This window comes from Homo sapiens, chromosome 17 (assembly GCF_000001405.40).
Source record: "Homo sapiens chromosome 17, GRCh38.p14 Primary Assembly".
NCBI classification, from domain to species: domain Eukaryota; kingdom Metazoa; phylum Chordata; class Mammalia; order Primates; family Hominidae; genus Homo; species Homo sapiens.
This window is the reverse complement of record NC_000017.11, coordinates 16,306,947-16,319,991: the sequence shown is the minus strand read 5'-3', so window position 1 is coordinate 16,319,991 and position 13,045 is coordinate 16,306,947. Positions and strand designations below refer to the sequence as shown.

Below are 13,045 nucleotides of genomic sequence, written 5' to 3'. Positions count from 1 at the left end.
TTGTTATGCTACCCATCTCTCTGTGGGGGGCTTAAGTCTACAGGGGGATGCACCTGGAGACAAACTGAGGAATAATTCTCCTCAGCCCACCCTCTCCCTAACTCTGATGGCACTCAGTCACCTGTTCCATGGACAGCTAAGAGTTTTCCCTAGGATGACCTGAGCTGGCCTAGCTCTTCCTCACCCTGCATGTGGGCTTCTTGCAGTCTGCCCTGGGCTCTTTTTTTTTTTTTTTTGGAGACGGAGTCTCGCTCTGTCACCCAGGCTGGAGTGCAGTGGTGCGATCTTGGATCACTGCAACCTCCGCCTCCCGGGTTCAAGCAATTCTCCTGCCTCAGCCTCCCGAGTAGCTGGGACTACAGGTGCCCACCACCACGCCCGGCTACTTTTTTGTATTTTAGTAGAGACGGGGTTTCGCCGTGTTGCCCTGGCTGGTCTCAAACTCCTGAGCTCAGACAATCTGCCTGTCTCGGCCTCCCAAAGTGTTAGGATTACAGGCGTGAGCCACGGCGTCTGGCCTCCCCTAGGCTCTTTACAGAGGCTCCTGGCAGGTCTGAATTCTTCTTAAACTCAAGCTGGGAGCATCGCTCCATGTATAACAGTGATAAAGTGGCAAATCAAAATGTCTAACAGTAAGGGATTCGTGATATATCTTATGGTATATACATACAGTGGCGTAATTGGCAGCCATTGGTATTTGAATACTAAATGAAATAGGAGAAAATGTTCATAATAAATAGTTTTGATTTTTTTTTTTTTTTTTTTTTTGGCTAGGGTCTGGCTCTGTTGCCCAGGCTGGAGTGCAGTGGTATGATCAGGGTTCATTGCAACCTTGACCTCCTGGGCTCAAGTGATCCTCCTGCCTCAGCTACCCGAGTAGCTGGGACCACTGGCATGTGCCACCATGCCTGGCTAATTTTTCTGTAGAGATGGGATTTTGCTCTGTTGCCCAGCAAGCAGTCCACCCACCCCGGCCTCCCAAAGTACTGGGATTACAGGCATGAGCCACTGTGCCCAGCCCATAACGTATTGTTAAAGCAGGTTTTTTGTTGTTTTTTTTTTGAGACAGAATCCTCTCTGTCACCCAGGCTGGAGTACAGTGGCATGATCTCAGCTCACCACAACCTCCACCTCCCGGGTTCATGCGATTCTTCTGCCTCAGCCTCCCAAGTAGCTGGAACTACAGGTGCATGCCACCACGCCTGGCTAATTTTTGTAGCTTTAGTAGAGACGGGGTTTCAACATGTTGGCCAGGCTGGTCTTGAACCCCTGACCTCGTGATCTGCCCGCCTCAGCCTCCCAAAGTGCTATGATTACAGGCATGAGCCACCACACCTGGCCAAAGCTGGTTTTAAATAGGCACTGTGTGATCCCATTTGAAATGTGTATACACATACACATTATATATATATAAAGAGTAGGGCTGGGCACAGTGGATCATGTCTGTAATCCCTGCACTTTGGGAGGTCGAGGTGGGTGGATCACCCGAGGTCAGGAGGTCGAGACAAGCCTGGCCAACATGATGAAACCCCAGCTCTACTAAAAATACAAAAAATTAGCCGGGTGTGGTGGCGGTGCCTGTAATCCCAGCTACTCAGGAGGCTGAGGCAGGAGAATCACTTGAACCCAGGAGGCGGAGGTTGCAGTGAGCCGAGATTGCACCACTGCACTCCAGCTTGGGTGACAAGAGCAAAACTCCGTCTCAAAAAAAAAAAAAGAGTAGAAAGATGTAGCCCAACATGTTAACAAGGATTACCTGTGATTGGTGGGACTGCAGGTAATTGTTCTTATTTTTATTTTCTTTTTGATGCTTTTATGTTTTTCAAGATTTTCTGCAATGAGCATGTGTTATTTACTTTTAGAAAAAGCATATATTATTTTTATAATTAGAAAAAAAAGGCTAAAGTCATTGAAAAATCTATGCCTCCCAAGATCTAGCTGGCCTAGCCCTAATTCTCAGGGACAGGTGCTGAACCACTGTGAAAAACCTTCAGTTAGGGCTTCTGCAGAGGTGGGGCTTTGAGGAGACAGGGGTCTGGGGCAGGGATCTGAGTTGGGGTGTCCAGGAATTTACAATCCTCACCTTGGCCTGTGCCACTTCTTTGCTGTTGAGCACGAAGAGGACATCCTGCGTATGAAGCAGAGACAAGGGCAGATCCAGAAGGGAGATGTACTTGCGCAGCACATTCACAGACTGAAGCGTGAGCACAGAGCACCCTGGATGGAGAGGAGACAGGGTGAAGTGATAAGCCTTGAGGCCTCCAGCCAGATTTTCCCCTGAGCATCCTCCCTCTACCCTGTGGCTCAGGGCAGGGCAGGACAGTGGCCACAGCATTGCCACGTGTTTCTGTGGCACTAAAGCTGCCCTGTGCCCATGATTCTTGCAGCTAGAACGAGTAAAAGGGCCATAGAAGACCTGGCTGGCTACCCTCTACCCTGCGGTGTGCCCTACCAGAAAAAGGTTGGCTGCTAGAGGTTGAGATCTGGCTACCTCAAAGCCAAAGGAAGTAAAGGAGACAGGAATTACTGTATTGGGAGTTTAGAGACCTGGTTCCAGCTCTGTCAGTCAAGAATTGACAGACTTGGCAAAGTCCCTTAACCACTCTCAGTCTCAGTTTTCTAATCTGTAAATTGGTGTTGATAGTGTGAGACCTGCCTGTCTCACAGGATTGATATAAGAATCAAACAAACTATAGTCATGTTCCAAAGTCATCATGGCTTGGTAAGCTCCTTTCAGTCATCCCACATAGAAAGGGCACAAACTACTTACGTTTTCATTCATTGAATCTTCGTATTGCGCCGGTGAGGTATGACAGACCAGAAACTGGTCCAGAGAGGCTAAGCATGGGGGTCATGCAGTAAATGGTCAGGTAGGGTCAAATACTTTATGTGGGTTAGGAAGAGTTCCTAACTCAGGCAGATTGGTTCATCAAGCACCCAGCAGTCATTTACAACCTGCCTAATTGGTTGGGGGATGGGATTGAGTTCAGACTGGAAGAATACCAGAGGTGTAAAACATCCACCCTGTGAAAAAGCTAGACAGGTTGAGGGGCAAACCTGGCCTCCCCACTCATCCAGAGGTGGCCCTGCAGGCAGGCACTTGCTGGTAGATACAACCTGCCAGGTACCTTGAGGTGAGTCAGGAAGAGTGTGGCGGCCTCCCCAACCACTGCCTCTGCTCGGCTGAGGGCAGCTCTCTGTGGATTTGCAAATTTCCCCCTCATAAGTTTCTCAGAGGGACAGTATCTTGTGGCCCTTTGCAAAAGGAACAAGCCTTACCTTTAGGTAACTTCCCTTCTGAGTGCAGGGCCCTGGAGGAGGGATAGGACAAGAGTGAGAGGAGTAAGGATCATTTCCTTTGTAGGTAACAGGAGGGGCCTTCAGAGGAAAGGCTGCCATGCCCATGGTCCCCTCCATGTGAGTCTCCAGGTGGTTTCTTTTGCATAAATCACTGTATAGATTTCCAGGATCCCATACCTCTGGCAACAGCTGAAGGGACCAGGATGGGCACCTGAGCTAGGGACAGCCAATCCAGAGGCTGGTCTGTGGTTTGTGAAGTACTCTGGTCCAAGCTTTGCCCATTAGAGAATGAAGGTAACTGTGCTGGACTCTTCATAGTTTTTCTCTTGGAAGTGTAATGTGAGTATGATGGGGGAATATTTTACAATGCTAACTGATAGCTCTTCCCTGATATTTCCTTTCTCCTTTCTGAGCTTCCCTACGCCTACCTTCTGACAGTGCAGGTCATTCTGTGCTCGCCACCTTAAGAGGAGGGGAGTGTCAACTGCAATGAGCTCCAAGTCTCTTCCCCACTTTGTTGTTTAGAAAGCTGGGGGCAGAGAAGGATTGGGAAGGTAGCCCCAGCAACACACAGACACACATATGAACAGAGACTCTTGGGAGCAGGGGTTAAACAAGAGAAGTTGAGAGACAATTGACAAATTCATGGAACTGACTGCCTGGCAGAGCCTGAGAGGTAGAAAAACCTGAAAAAGGAGCCGGGCGCGGTGGCTCACGCCTGTAAACCCAGCACTTTGGGAGGCCGAGGCAAGCGGATCACGAGGTCAGGAGTTCGGCACCAGCCTGGCCAATATGGTGAAACTCCGTCTCTAATAAAAATACAAAAATTAACCGGGCGTGGTGGCATGCACCAGTAGTTCCCAGCTACTCAGGAGGCTGAGGCAGGAGGCGGAGGCTGCAGTGAGCTGAGATCACGCCACTGCACACCAGCCTGGGTGACAGAGCGAGACTCTGTCTCAAAAAAAAAAAAAAAAAAAAAAAAAGAAAGAAAGAAAGAAAGAAAGAAAAGAAAAGACTGAAAAAACTTTCTGGGATCCTGAGAATGAAGTGGCTTGTCCTGTACTCTGGGCAAAGCCCTGTGGATATTCTGATGTCCAGGGAAAGCAGTGAGCTAGAGGCGCTGTCTGGAAGTAGAGCTTATAGCCCTTAAAGCCACAGGAGAAGCTGTGCTGAGGAGGACTGGGGAGTGAGCCCTGGGGACAGGGGGACCAAGGGGCCACTGGTGGGAGGGAAGCCGGGAAGAGAATGAGAAGTAGCCAGAAAGGCCAGAGTGAGGAGGGCAAGCTGGTGCCATATAAGTCAAAGCAGCATTGCAGTGAGGGACAGGCAGGGCCAGATGCCACAGAAGGTTCAAGGTGGCTGAGGACTAACGTGAGTCTAACGAATTTAGCAGGCAAGAGATGACTGTGGGGAAAAAGGTTGTGGCAGATTGGTGGCATGTCCATGAATTGTTTTATCTGAAGCACAGTGGCCCTCCTTCGTGCTGAGAGCCTGTGGCACTCCAGCCTCTTCTGAGGAAAATGGCCCCAGGCAGTTCTATCTACACAGAGTTGTCCCCTTGGGTTCTTTCTCTGCCCAGAATGACGCCTTCTCTATTTTCTCCACTTCAGTGGTGACTGGACCAGGAATGGGACCAGGTGACTCAATCTCAAGTGCCCCAGCCCCCTGCCTGTTGAGGTACTCTTTGTTTGCAATAGACCTGACCTGATCCTTTCTCTGGTGCAGTGTAAATTCTCGGAGAGAAATCACCAGGCTCAGTGTGCATCCAGAATGAGGTGGGACCATTTTTCCAGTTCTCCATGGGGCTTGCTGTCCATGCTAGTCTTGGAAGCTCAAGGCCTCAGAGTAACCATGTGGTTGGAAAGACCACTCTGGGGCTGCCTCATTTTTCCATATATCATCAAAAAAATTTGTATTTCAGACTGTAACCAGGGAATGTTTCTTTCCTGAATTTGAAGGGACCTAATGCGACTAGGAGCATGTCTCTTCTAAAGCTGTGGCTGCTGGCTGGACCAGGAACCGAATAGTCTTTACAGGGAGAACAGTCTAGCCTCCCCTCATTCCATAGTCAAGGAAACAGGGAAATCTGCCTAGAAAGAGTATGTGGGTAAAATTCTAGCATCTTCCACCAAGTGATGTAAAATTTAAGGACAAGGAGGGTCTTCAGTTTGGATTGGTCTTCACATACATCTGACAGAATAATGAATGGAGAACTAGGATTCCTGAATTCTGCCTCTGCCATAGTTTAACCTTGTGGTGCTGGGCAAACCACTTCCCAGTGATTGGACTTAATGGTTGGTGAGGTCATTTCCAACTTTACATATTGCATTGCTTCAGTCTGAGTGTTAAGCATGTTTAGAAGAAGGTTATTAAATAAGTCCTTCCCTTCAAGTTGCTTCTTTCCTTCCTCAGTAGCTGGGACAGGCCTGCCACACCACTGATCAGGGGCCCAGGAGAAGCACTTTGCTAGGGGACAGGAAACACATCTATGTTTGTATGACTCTATGTCACTCAATACCTTTGAGCTTGCATTTTCTTTTTATTGGTAAAATGCAAATAAATATCAGTAAAATCGGGTGACTGTGAAGAACAAACACATTTCATATTATGTATGTATATCCTCCTTCTCCAAGAAAGATTTGAGAGTTGTATAAAACACATGACGGAAGTGAGAGTAAGGGGAAGAAGATGGTGAAGGTGGAGGCACACTGATTGACAGCACTCATTCCTTAAAGTCTTGTCCAGTGCCACAGGGCTTGCAAATTTGGCCCTCAAGCTTCCTGTGGCCACAGAAAAGAGATGAATAAAGTCAATTACCCCATTCGCAGTATTCAGTGTATAAAAAAGAATTCAGCTGTTTAGGAGACGAGCATTCGTACTAGGACTTGAGAGAGATTTCTCAGCGAGAGGACATGGTGAGATGCAGTGAGCAACATGGCCAAAAAGGGCTAGAAGATAAGCCAGCAGTGAGTTTCATGGGCTCAGATAACAAGTGGGAAAGTGCTTTAGACTTTAAACCATGAGCCCTAATCAAATAAACAAACCCTCCCCCACATCCATCACCCGGAGAATCATACCTCACAGCTGCATACAGAGCAATGTGATTGCTGTGGCCACTTACTCCCCCTGCATCGAAAGTCACCACCTGTAGAGAAACACAGGGTTTTCACTGAATGCCTTCTCCACCACCTCAACTTCAATGGAGCTGTCTCCTTCCCTTGGGAAGGAGAGAACAGAACCCTGAAACTTTTCAAATGCAGCATCTATCTGAAGTGACTTCTGAGCAGATCAGTGGTGTGTAGCTAGTGCTGTGGTTGACCACATAGAGACTGTTTTCCAGGGTTTGATGTTTTACTCTTGTTCCTAGCCAGTGGAGCAGAGTGGAATTCAGCCATGATAGTAACTTGGGTTCAGAATATCTTTGTTGCTTATTGGTTTAGCCATTTATTAGCACATTTAGAATTCCTGGCTAGCTTCTAAGTGAACTCTGTTTATGCAGATACAGCCTGAATTACTGGTTCTCTTTTTCTCATGCCATACTGAGGGCAAAAAAAGCTTTGAAGGACAATGTCCACCGTGTCCTGGGGTTGAGTTCATGGAAAAAGTGTATTTATTCATAGATTGCCTCTGTTTCCATTTTCACAGCTATATCAATATCTGTTTATTAACTACAAGCTCAGTCTGTATTCCAACATTTCATTTCTACACAAATGAATTAAAGAAAAAACAAATAGCTCCCTCTCCCTCTCCCTCTCCCCCCCCCTTCCCCCTCCCCTCTTTCCAAGGTCTCCTTCTGATGCTGAGCCGAAGCTGGACTGTACTGCTGCCATCTCGGCTTACTGCAACCTCCCTGCCTGATTCTCCTACCTCAGCCTGCCGAGTGCCTGCGATTGCAGGCGCGCGCCGCCACGCCTGACTGGTTTTCGTATTTTTTTGGTGGAGACGGGGTTTCGCTGTGTTGGCCGGGCTGGTCTCCAGCTCCTAACCGCAAGTGATCTGCCAGCCTTGGCCTCCCAAGGTGCCGGGATTGCAGACGGAGTCTCGTTCACTCAGTGCTCAATGTTGCCCAGGCTGGAGTGCAGTGGCGTGATCTCGGCTAGCTACAACCTCCACCTCCCAGCCGCCTGCCTTGGCCTCCCAAAGTGCCGAGATTGCAGCCTCTGCCCGGCCGCCACCCCGTCTGGGAAGTGAGGAGCGTCTCTGCCTGGCCACCCATCGTCTGGGATGTGAGGAGCCCCTCTGCCCGGCCGCCCAGTCTGGGAAGTGAGGAGCGCCTCTTCCCGGCCGCCATCCCGTCTAGGAAGTGAGGAGCGCCTCCACCCGGCTGCCCATCGTCTGAGATGTGGGGAGCGCCTCTGCCCTGCCGCCCCATCTGGGATGTGAGGAGCGCCTCTGCCCGGCCGCGACCCCCGTCTGGGAGGTGAGGAGCGTCTCTGCCCGGCCTCCCCGTCTGAGAAGTGAGGAGCCCCTCCGCCCGGCAGCCGCCCCATCTGGGAAGTGAGGAGCGTCTCCGCCCAGCAGCCGCCCCGTCCGGGAGGGAGGTGGGGGGCTGCGGGCAGCCCCCGCCCGGCCAGCCGCCCCCTCCGGGAGGGAGGTGGGGGGGCAGCCCCCACCCGGCCAGCCACCCCGTCCGGGAGGTTGGGGGCGCCTCTGCCCGGCCACCCCGTCTGGGAAGTGAGGAGCCCCTCTGCCCGGCCACCACCCCGTCTGGGAGGTGTACCCAACAGCTCATTGAGAACGGGCCATGATGACGATGGCGGTTTTGTGGAATAGAAAAGGGGGAAAGGTGGGGAAAAGATAGAGAAATCAGATTGTTGCTGTGTCTGTGTAGAAGGAGGTAGACCTGGGAGACTTCATTTTGTTCTGTACTAAGAAAAATTCTTCTGCCTTGCGATGCTGTTGATCTCTGACCTTACCCCCAACCCTGTGCTCTCTGAAACATGTGCTGTGTCCACTCAGGGTTAAATGGATTAAGGGCGGTGCAAGATGTGCTTTGTTAAACAGATGCTTGAAGGCAGCATGCTCGTTAAGAGTCATCACCACTCCCTAATCTCAAGTACCCAGGGACACAAACACTGCGGAAGGCCGCAGGGTCCTCTGCCTAGGAAAACCAGAGACCTTTGTTCACTTGTTTATCTGCTGACCTTCCCTCCACTATTGTCCTATGACCCTGCCAAATCCCCCTCTTCGAGAAACACCCAAGAATGATCAAAAAAAAAAAAAAGAAAGAAAACCTCTGTGCTTTGGGCTTTACCACTTATTGGGTTTGTGGCTTTTTGCAAGTTATATAACATGTCTGTGGTGCAATTATCTCATATGTAATCATAATTGTACTTCACACAATTGTCATAGAGATTTTCTGAGATAAATGATAATAATAATTGCTAAAAAAAAGAAAAAACAAATAATAATTTGAATAATAATAATAATAAGGCTAACTCAAATAATAAAAGAAATATAAAAACGACAACAAGGACTGAAGAAAGGATAGAATGATTGATTAGGGGTGATGAAAAGAGGCAAGCTGTCCCCAAGGAAAGGTGACCATCCTGCATGGATGAAGGAACCTGGAACTGGGATTGGAATGGGCTGGGAAGGGATTCGCTCTTGGTCTTTCTATTTTAAACTGTAAAGCATAATGACTGCATGTACAGCAAGCCCTCTGTTATAATAAGAGTGGCTAACATTTATTGAGCAAAGACATAGTATTAACCCTATCTTACACCTGAGGAAGTTCAGGAAGCAGAGGCCGAAGCTGTGATCACCTTGCCACTGAGTGGTGGAGCTGTTCTTGGGGTTTAGATCTTTCTGACTCCACAGTCCACGCTCTTTACAAGCATCCTCTATGTGAGAAGGCGTGCTACGCTGCAGGAAGAAGCACTGTGTAAAAGACCTTTGGGAGACTGAGGCGGGCAGATCACTTGAGGTCAGGAGTTCAAGACCAGCCTGGCCAACATGGCGAAACCCTCTCTACTAAAAATACAAAAATGAGCTGGGCGTGGTGGTGGGCACCTGTAATCCCAGCTACTTGGGAGGTTGAGGCAGGAGAATCGCCTGAACCCAGGAGGCGGAGATTGCAGTGAGCCAATATCACGCCACTGGACTCCAGCCTGGGTGACAAGAGCGAAACTCTGTCTCAAAAAAAAAGAATCAGAAGACCTGCACTCTTATTCTGACAGCTACCAACCAAGTACATGAGTTTCGATCAGTTATTCTTTCTCCTGGGGTCTGGAGAGCTCATCTGTGAGGGAATATCGTATTTCAGGCAAGCAAACACTCTGGTTAGAAGGATCATCTTGAGAGTCATTACTGGATCCCTTATTTGAAAAGATAAGTACATAGTTAACTTCACTGTTCATGGCACTGAACACACACACACACACACACACACACACACACACACACTTTTTAATAATTCAGAAGACATTTTAGGATCCTGTAACTTTAAAGTTACCACCATGAGCCTCAATTTATTAACATGTTGACAAAGTCAACAGAAGTGGTGGGTAATGGAAGAATTTTAACAACAGAATGCCATAATTCAAGAAAGTCTTCTAATGATTAATGTTTATATTTCTTTTTTCTTTCTTTCTTTCTTTTTTTTTTTTTTTTTTGAGATGGAGTCTCACTCTGTTGCCCAAGCTAGAGTGCAGTGGTGCGATCTTGGCTCACTGCAACCTCTGTCTCCTGGGTTCAAGAGATTCTCTCACCTCTGCCTCCTGAGTAGCTGGGACTACAGGTACGTGCCACCATGCCTGGCTAATTTTTGTATTTTCAGTAGAGACAGGGTTTCACCATGTTGGCTGTGCTGGTCTCAAACTCCTGACTAAAGTTATCCGCTTGCCTTGGCCTCCCAAAGTGTTGGGATTACAGGCGTGAGCCACCGTGCCCGGCCTAATGTTTATATTTCTTTCTTTCTTTTTTTTTTTAAGATGGAGTCTTGCTCTGTTGACCAGGCTGGAGCGCAGTGGCGCAATTTCTCGGCTCACTGCAACTTCTACCTCCTGGGTTCAAGCAATTCTCCTGCCTCCGCCTTCCGAGTAGCTGGGATTACAGGTGCATGCCACCACACCTAGCTAATTTTTTATATTTTTGGTAGAGATGGGGTTTCGTTATGTGGCCAGGCTGGTCTTCAACTCCTGACCTGGTGATCCACCCGCCTTGGCCTCCCAAGGTGCTGTGATTACAGGTGTGAGCCACCGTGCCCGGCCTAATGTTTATATTTCTATCCTGAACCAGATTACTGTTTTGTGCTCATCAATGGAATCCAAGTAAGAACTAATTCAAAAACGATGCTTTTCATGCTTCTGTCACTTACTTTTCAAACTGCTTTTATGCTCGCTTTATCGCTTTGCTCTTTAGGTCCCTAGAAGAAGACTAATCTAGTTATCTATGAGATGGTTAAGCGTTCCTGCTCTGCCATGCAGGCTATAGTGCAGTGGCATGATCATAGCTCACCGTAGCCTTGACCTCCTGGGCTCAAGCAATCCTCCCACCTCATCCTCCTAAGTAGCTGGGAAGACACTACTTTTACAGCTATTAATACACTACTTATACACTATTATTACAGCTATTACCACAACCTCAAAAAATAAATGTTTGGCTGGGCACAGTGTCTTATGCCTGGAATCCCAGCATTTCAGGAGGCTGAAGTAGGAGGATCGCTTGACCCCAGGAGTTTGAGACCAGCCTGGGCAATATGGCGAGACCTTGTCTTTACAGAAAGAAATTTTTTTAATTAGCTGGGCCCGGTGGCACGTGCCTGTAGTCTCAGCTACTTGGGAGAGGAAGACAGGATTTCAAGGAGTCCAGGGGTCCAAGGTTACAGTGAGCCATGATCACACCATTCCAGCCTGGGCAACAGAGGGAGACCTTGTCTCGAAAAAAAAAAAAAAAAAAGCCTGGATGCAGTGGCTTTTTTAAATTAGTGTATAAGTAGTATGGTGCATGCCACCATACCTGGCTAATTTTTTAAATTTTTAGTAGAGACAAGGTCTCACTATGTTACTGAGGTTGGTCTTGGACTCCTGGGCTCAAGCAATCTGCCTGCTTTGGCCTCCCAAAATGCTGGGATTACAGGCATTTTGGGATTACAGTCTCAAATGCGCAATAGTGCCGCTGCACTGACACATCCTGCTCTATGGGAGCAGGGACTAAGTGCTTCTGGCTCACTGTTGTATTCCCAGTTCACCACCTATAGTGAATGTCCCATATTGGGTACTCAATAAATATTTATTGAATGAAAGTTGAGATAGAGGGTTTGAGGCCCAGGACCTAGCCTGCTTGACACCCAGAGAAGACACTACTATCCCCCTGGGCTGCTTTCCAAGGATGGCAGCTTTGTAATTTTCTTTTTTTTTGAGACGGAGTTTCACCCTGTCACCCAGACTGGAGTGCAGTGGCACAATCTCGGCTCACCGCAACCTCCTCCTCCCGGGTTCAAGCAGTTCCCTGCCTCAGCCTCCTGAGTAGCTGGGATTACAGGCATCTGCCACCACACCCGGCTAATTTTTGTATTTTTAGTAGAGATGGGGTTTCACCATCTTGGCCAGGCTGGGCTCAAACTCCTGACCTCGTGATGCACCTGCCTCAGCCTCCCAAAGTGCTGGGATTACAGGCATGAGCCACTGCACCCAGCCTTGTGCTTTTCTTTTTAAAATTTATTTTATTTTATTTTACTTTTTAAAAATAGTGAGCCACTGCATCCAGGCTTTTTTTTTTTTTTTTTGAGACAAGGTCTCCCTCTGTTGCCCAGGCTGGAATGGTGTGATCATGGCTCACTGTAACCTTGAACCCCTGGGCTCCTTGAAATCCTGTCTTCCTCTCCCAAGTAGCTGAGACTATAGGCACGTGCCACCGGGCCCAGCTACTTAAAAAAATTTCTTTCTGTAAAGACAAGGTCTTGTCATGTTGCCCAGGCTGGTCTCAAACTCCTGGGGTCAAGCGATCCTCCTACTTCAGCCTCCTGAAATGCTGGGATTCCAGGCATAAGACACTGTGCTCAGCCAAACTTTTTTTTTTGAGGTTGTGGTAATAGCTGTAATAACAGCTAATGACATTACTGAGCACTTACTCTGTACCAGGCACTGGGGTTAAAATCATTCTTACCTTTGATGACAGAACTATATGCAATGCCCAGAGGATACATAAGGGGACACATTTTTAAATGTGGTTTCCTTCATGATAGTAAAGAAAGAGTCTTGCCAACTGTGCTAGGTGTAGTTATTGCATTCAAGTTGCCCTCTCCCACCCAGCGTGCACAGCACAGGCTGGAAACATGCAGCTGTGGAAACAAAGCAGAAACTTTGAAGGAGTTAGCACCTAGGCCAAGGTGCCCTGGACTTTACTGCACTGGCACACCCTATGGCCTAGCAAGAGGACCAAATCTAAGAAGTGGAGACAGTGGAAACAACCACAAAACACAAGGTCCAGTCACCAAACATCCTCTCAGAGTGCCATGGCCATGAGGAGACCGGCTTCTGGCCATCATGAGATTCAGGAATCATTGGGAACCTCATGAAGAGTCAGCACCAGTTTAGGTGAATTCAGGGTAATGTCAACATGGTCTCCTGATAACAGAAAGAAGGGTTGTGCCATGGGAATGGCCTCCTTTGTTAAAACCGAGCAGCTCCCTGACAGAACCCTCTCGCTTTCATTTCCCTCTCCCTTTCCTTTTAAAGCTCTTACTGCCAAGTTTCCGTGGGATCAAGTGCTCTGCAGAGAAAGGCTTTCCCAGGGCTGGGCA

General features: G+C 48.3%; 1 protein-coding gene across 7 annotated transcripts in view; it reads right to left on the bottom strand.

The window, feature by feature from the left end:
* Positions 1-13,045, bottom strand: part of PIGL (phosphatidylinositol glycan anchor biosynthesis class L) — a 109,202-nt gene that overhangs the window by 6,420 nt on the left and 89,737 nt on the right. For 3 of the 7 annotated variants that reach the window (XM_047437097.1, XM_047437100.1, XM_047437099.1), the window contains 3 exons: positions 6,378-6,445; positions 3,280-3,311; positions 2,110-3,197 (listed from right to left, as the gene is read on the bottom strand). In XM_047437097.1, coding sequence (XP_047293053.1) covers positions 2,908-3,197; positions 3,280-3,311; positions 6,378-6,445 — 390 coding nt within the window. In that variant the 3' untranslated portion in view covers positions 2,110-2,907. Of the gene's footprint in view, positions 1-2,083; positions 3,198-3,279; positions 3,312-5,819; positions 6,081-6,377; positions 6,446-13,045 lie in introns of those variants that run through there. The other 4 variants (XR_007065545.1, NM_004278.4, NM_001411072.1 and 1 more) reach the window with 4 other exon arrangements.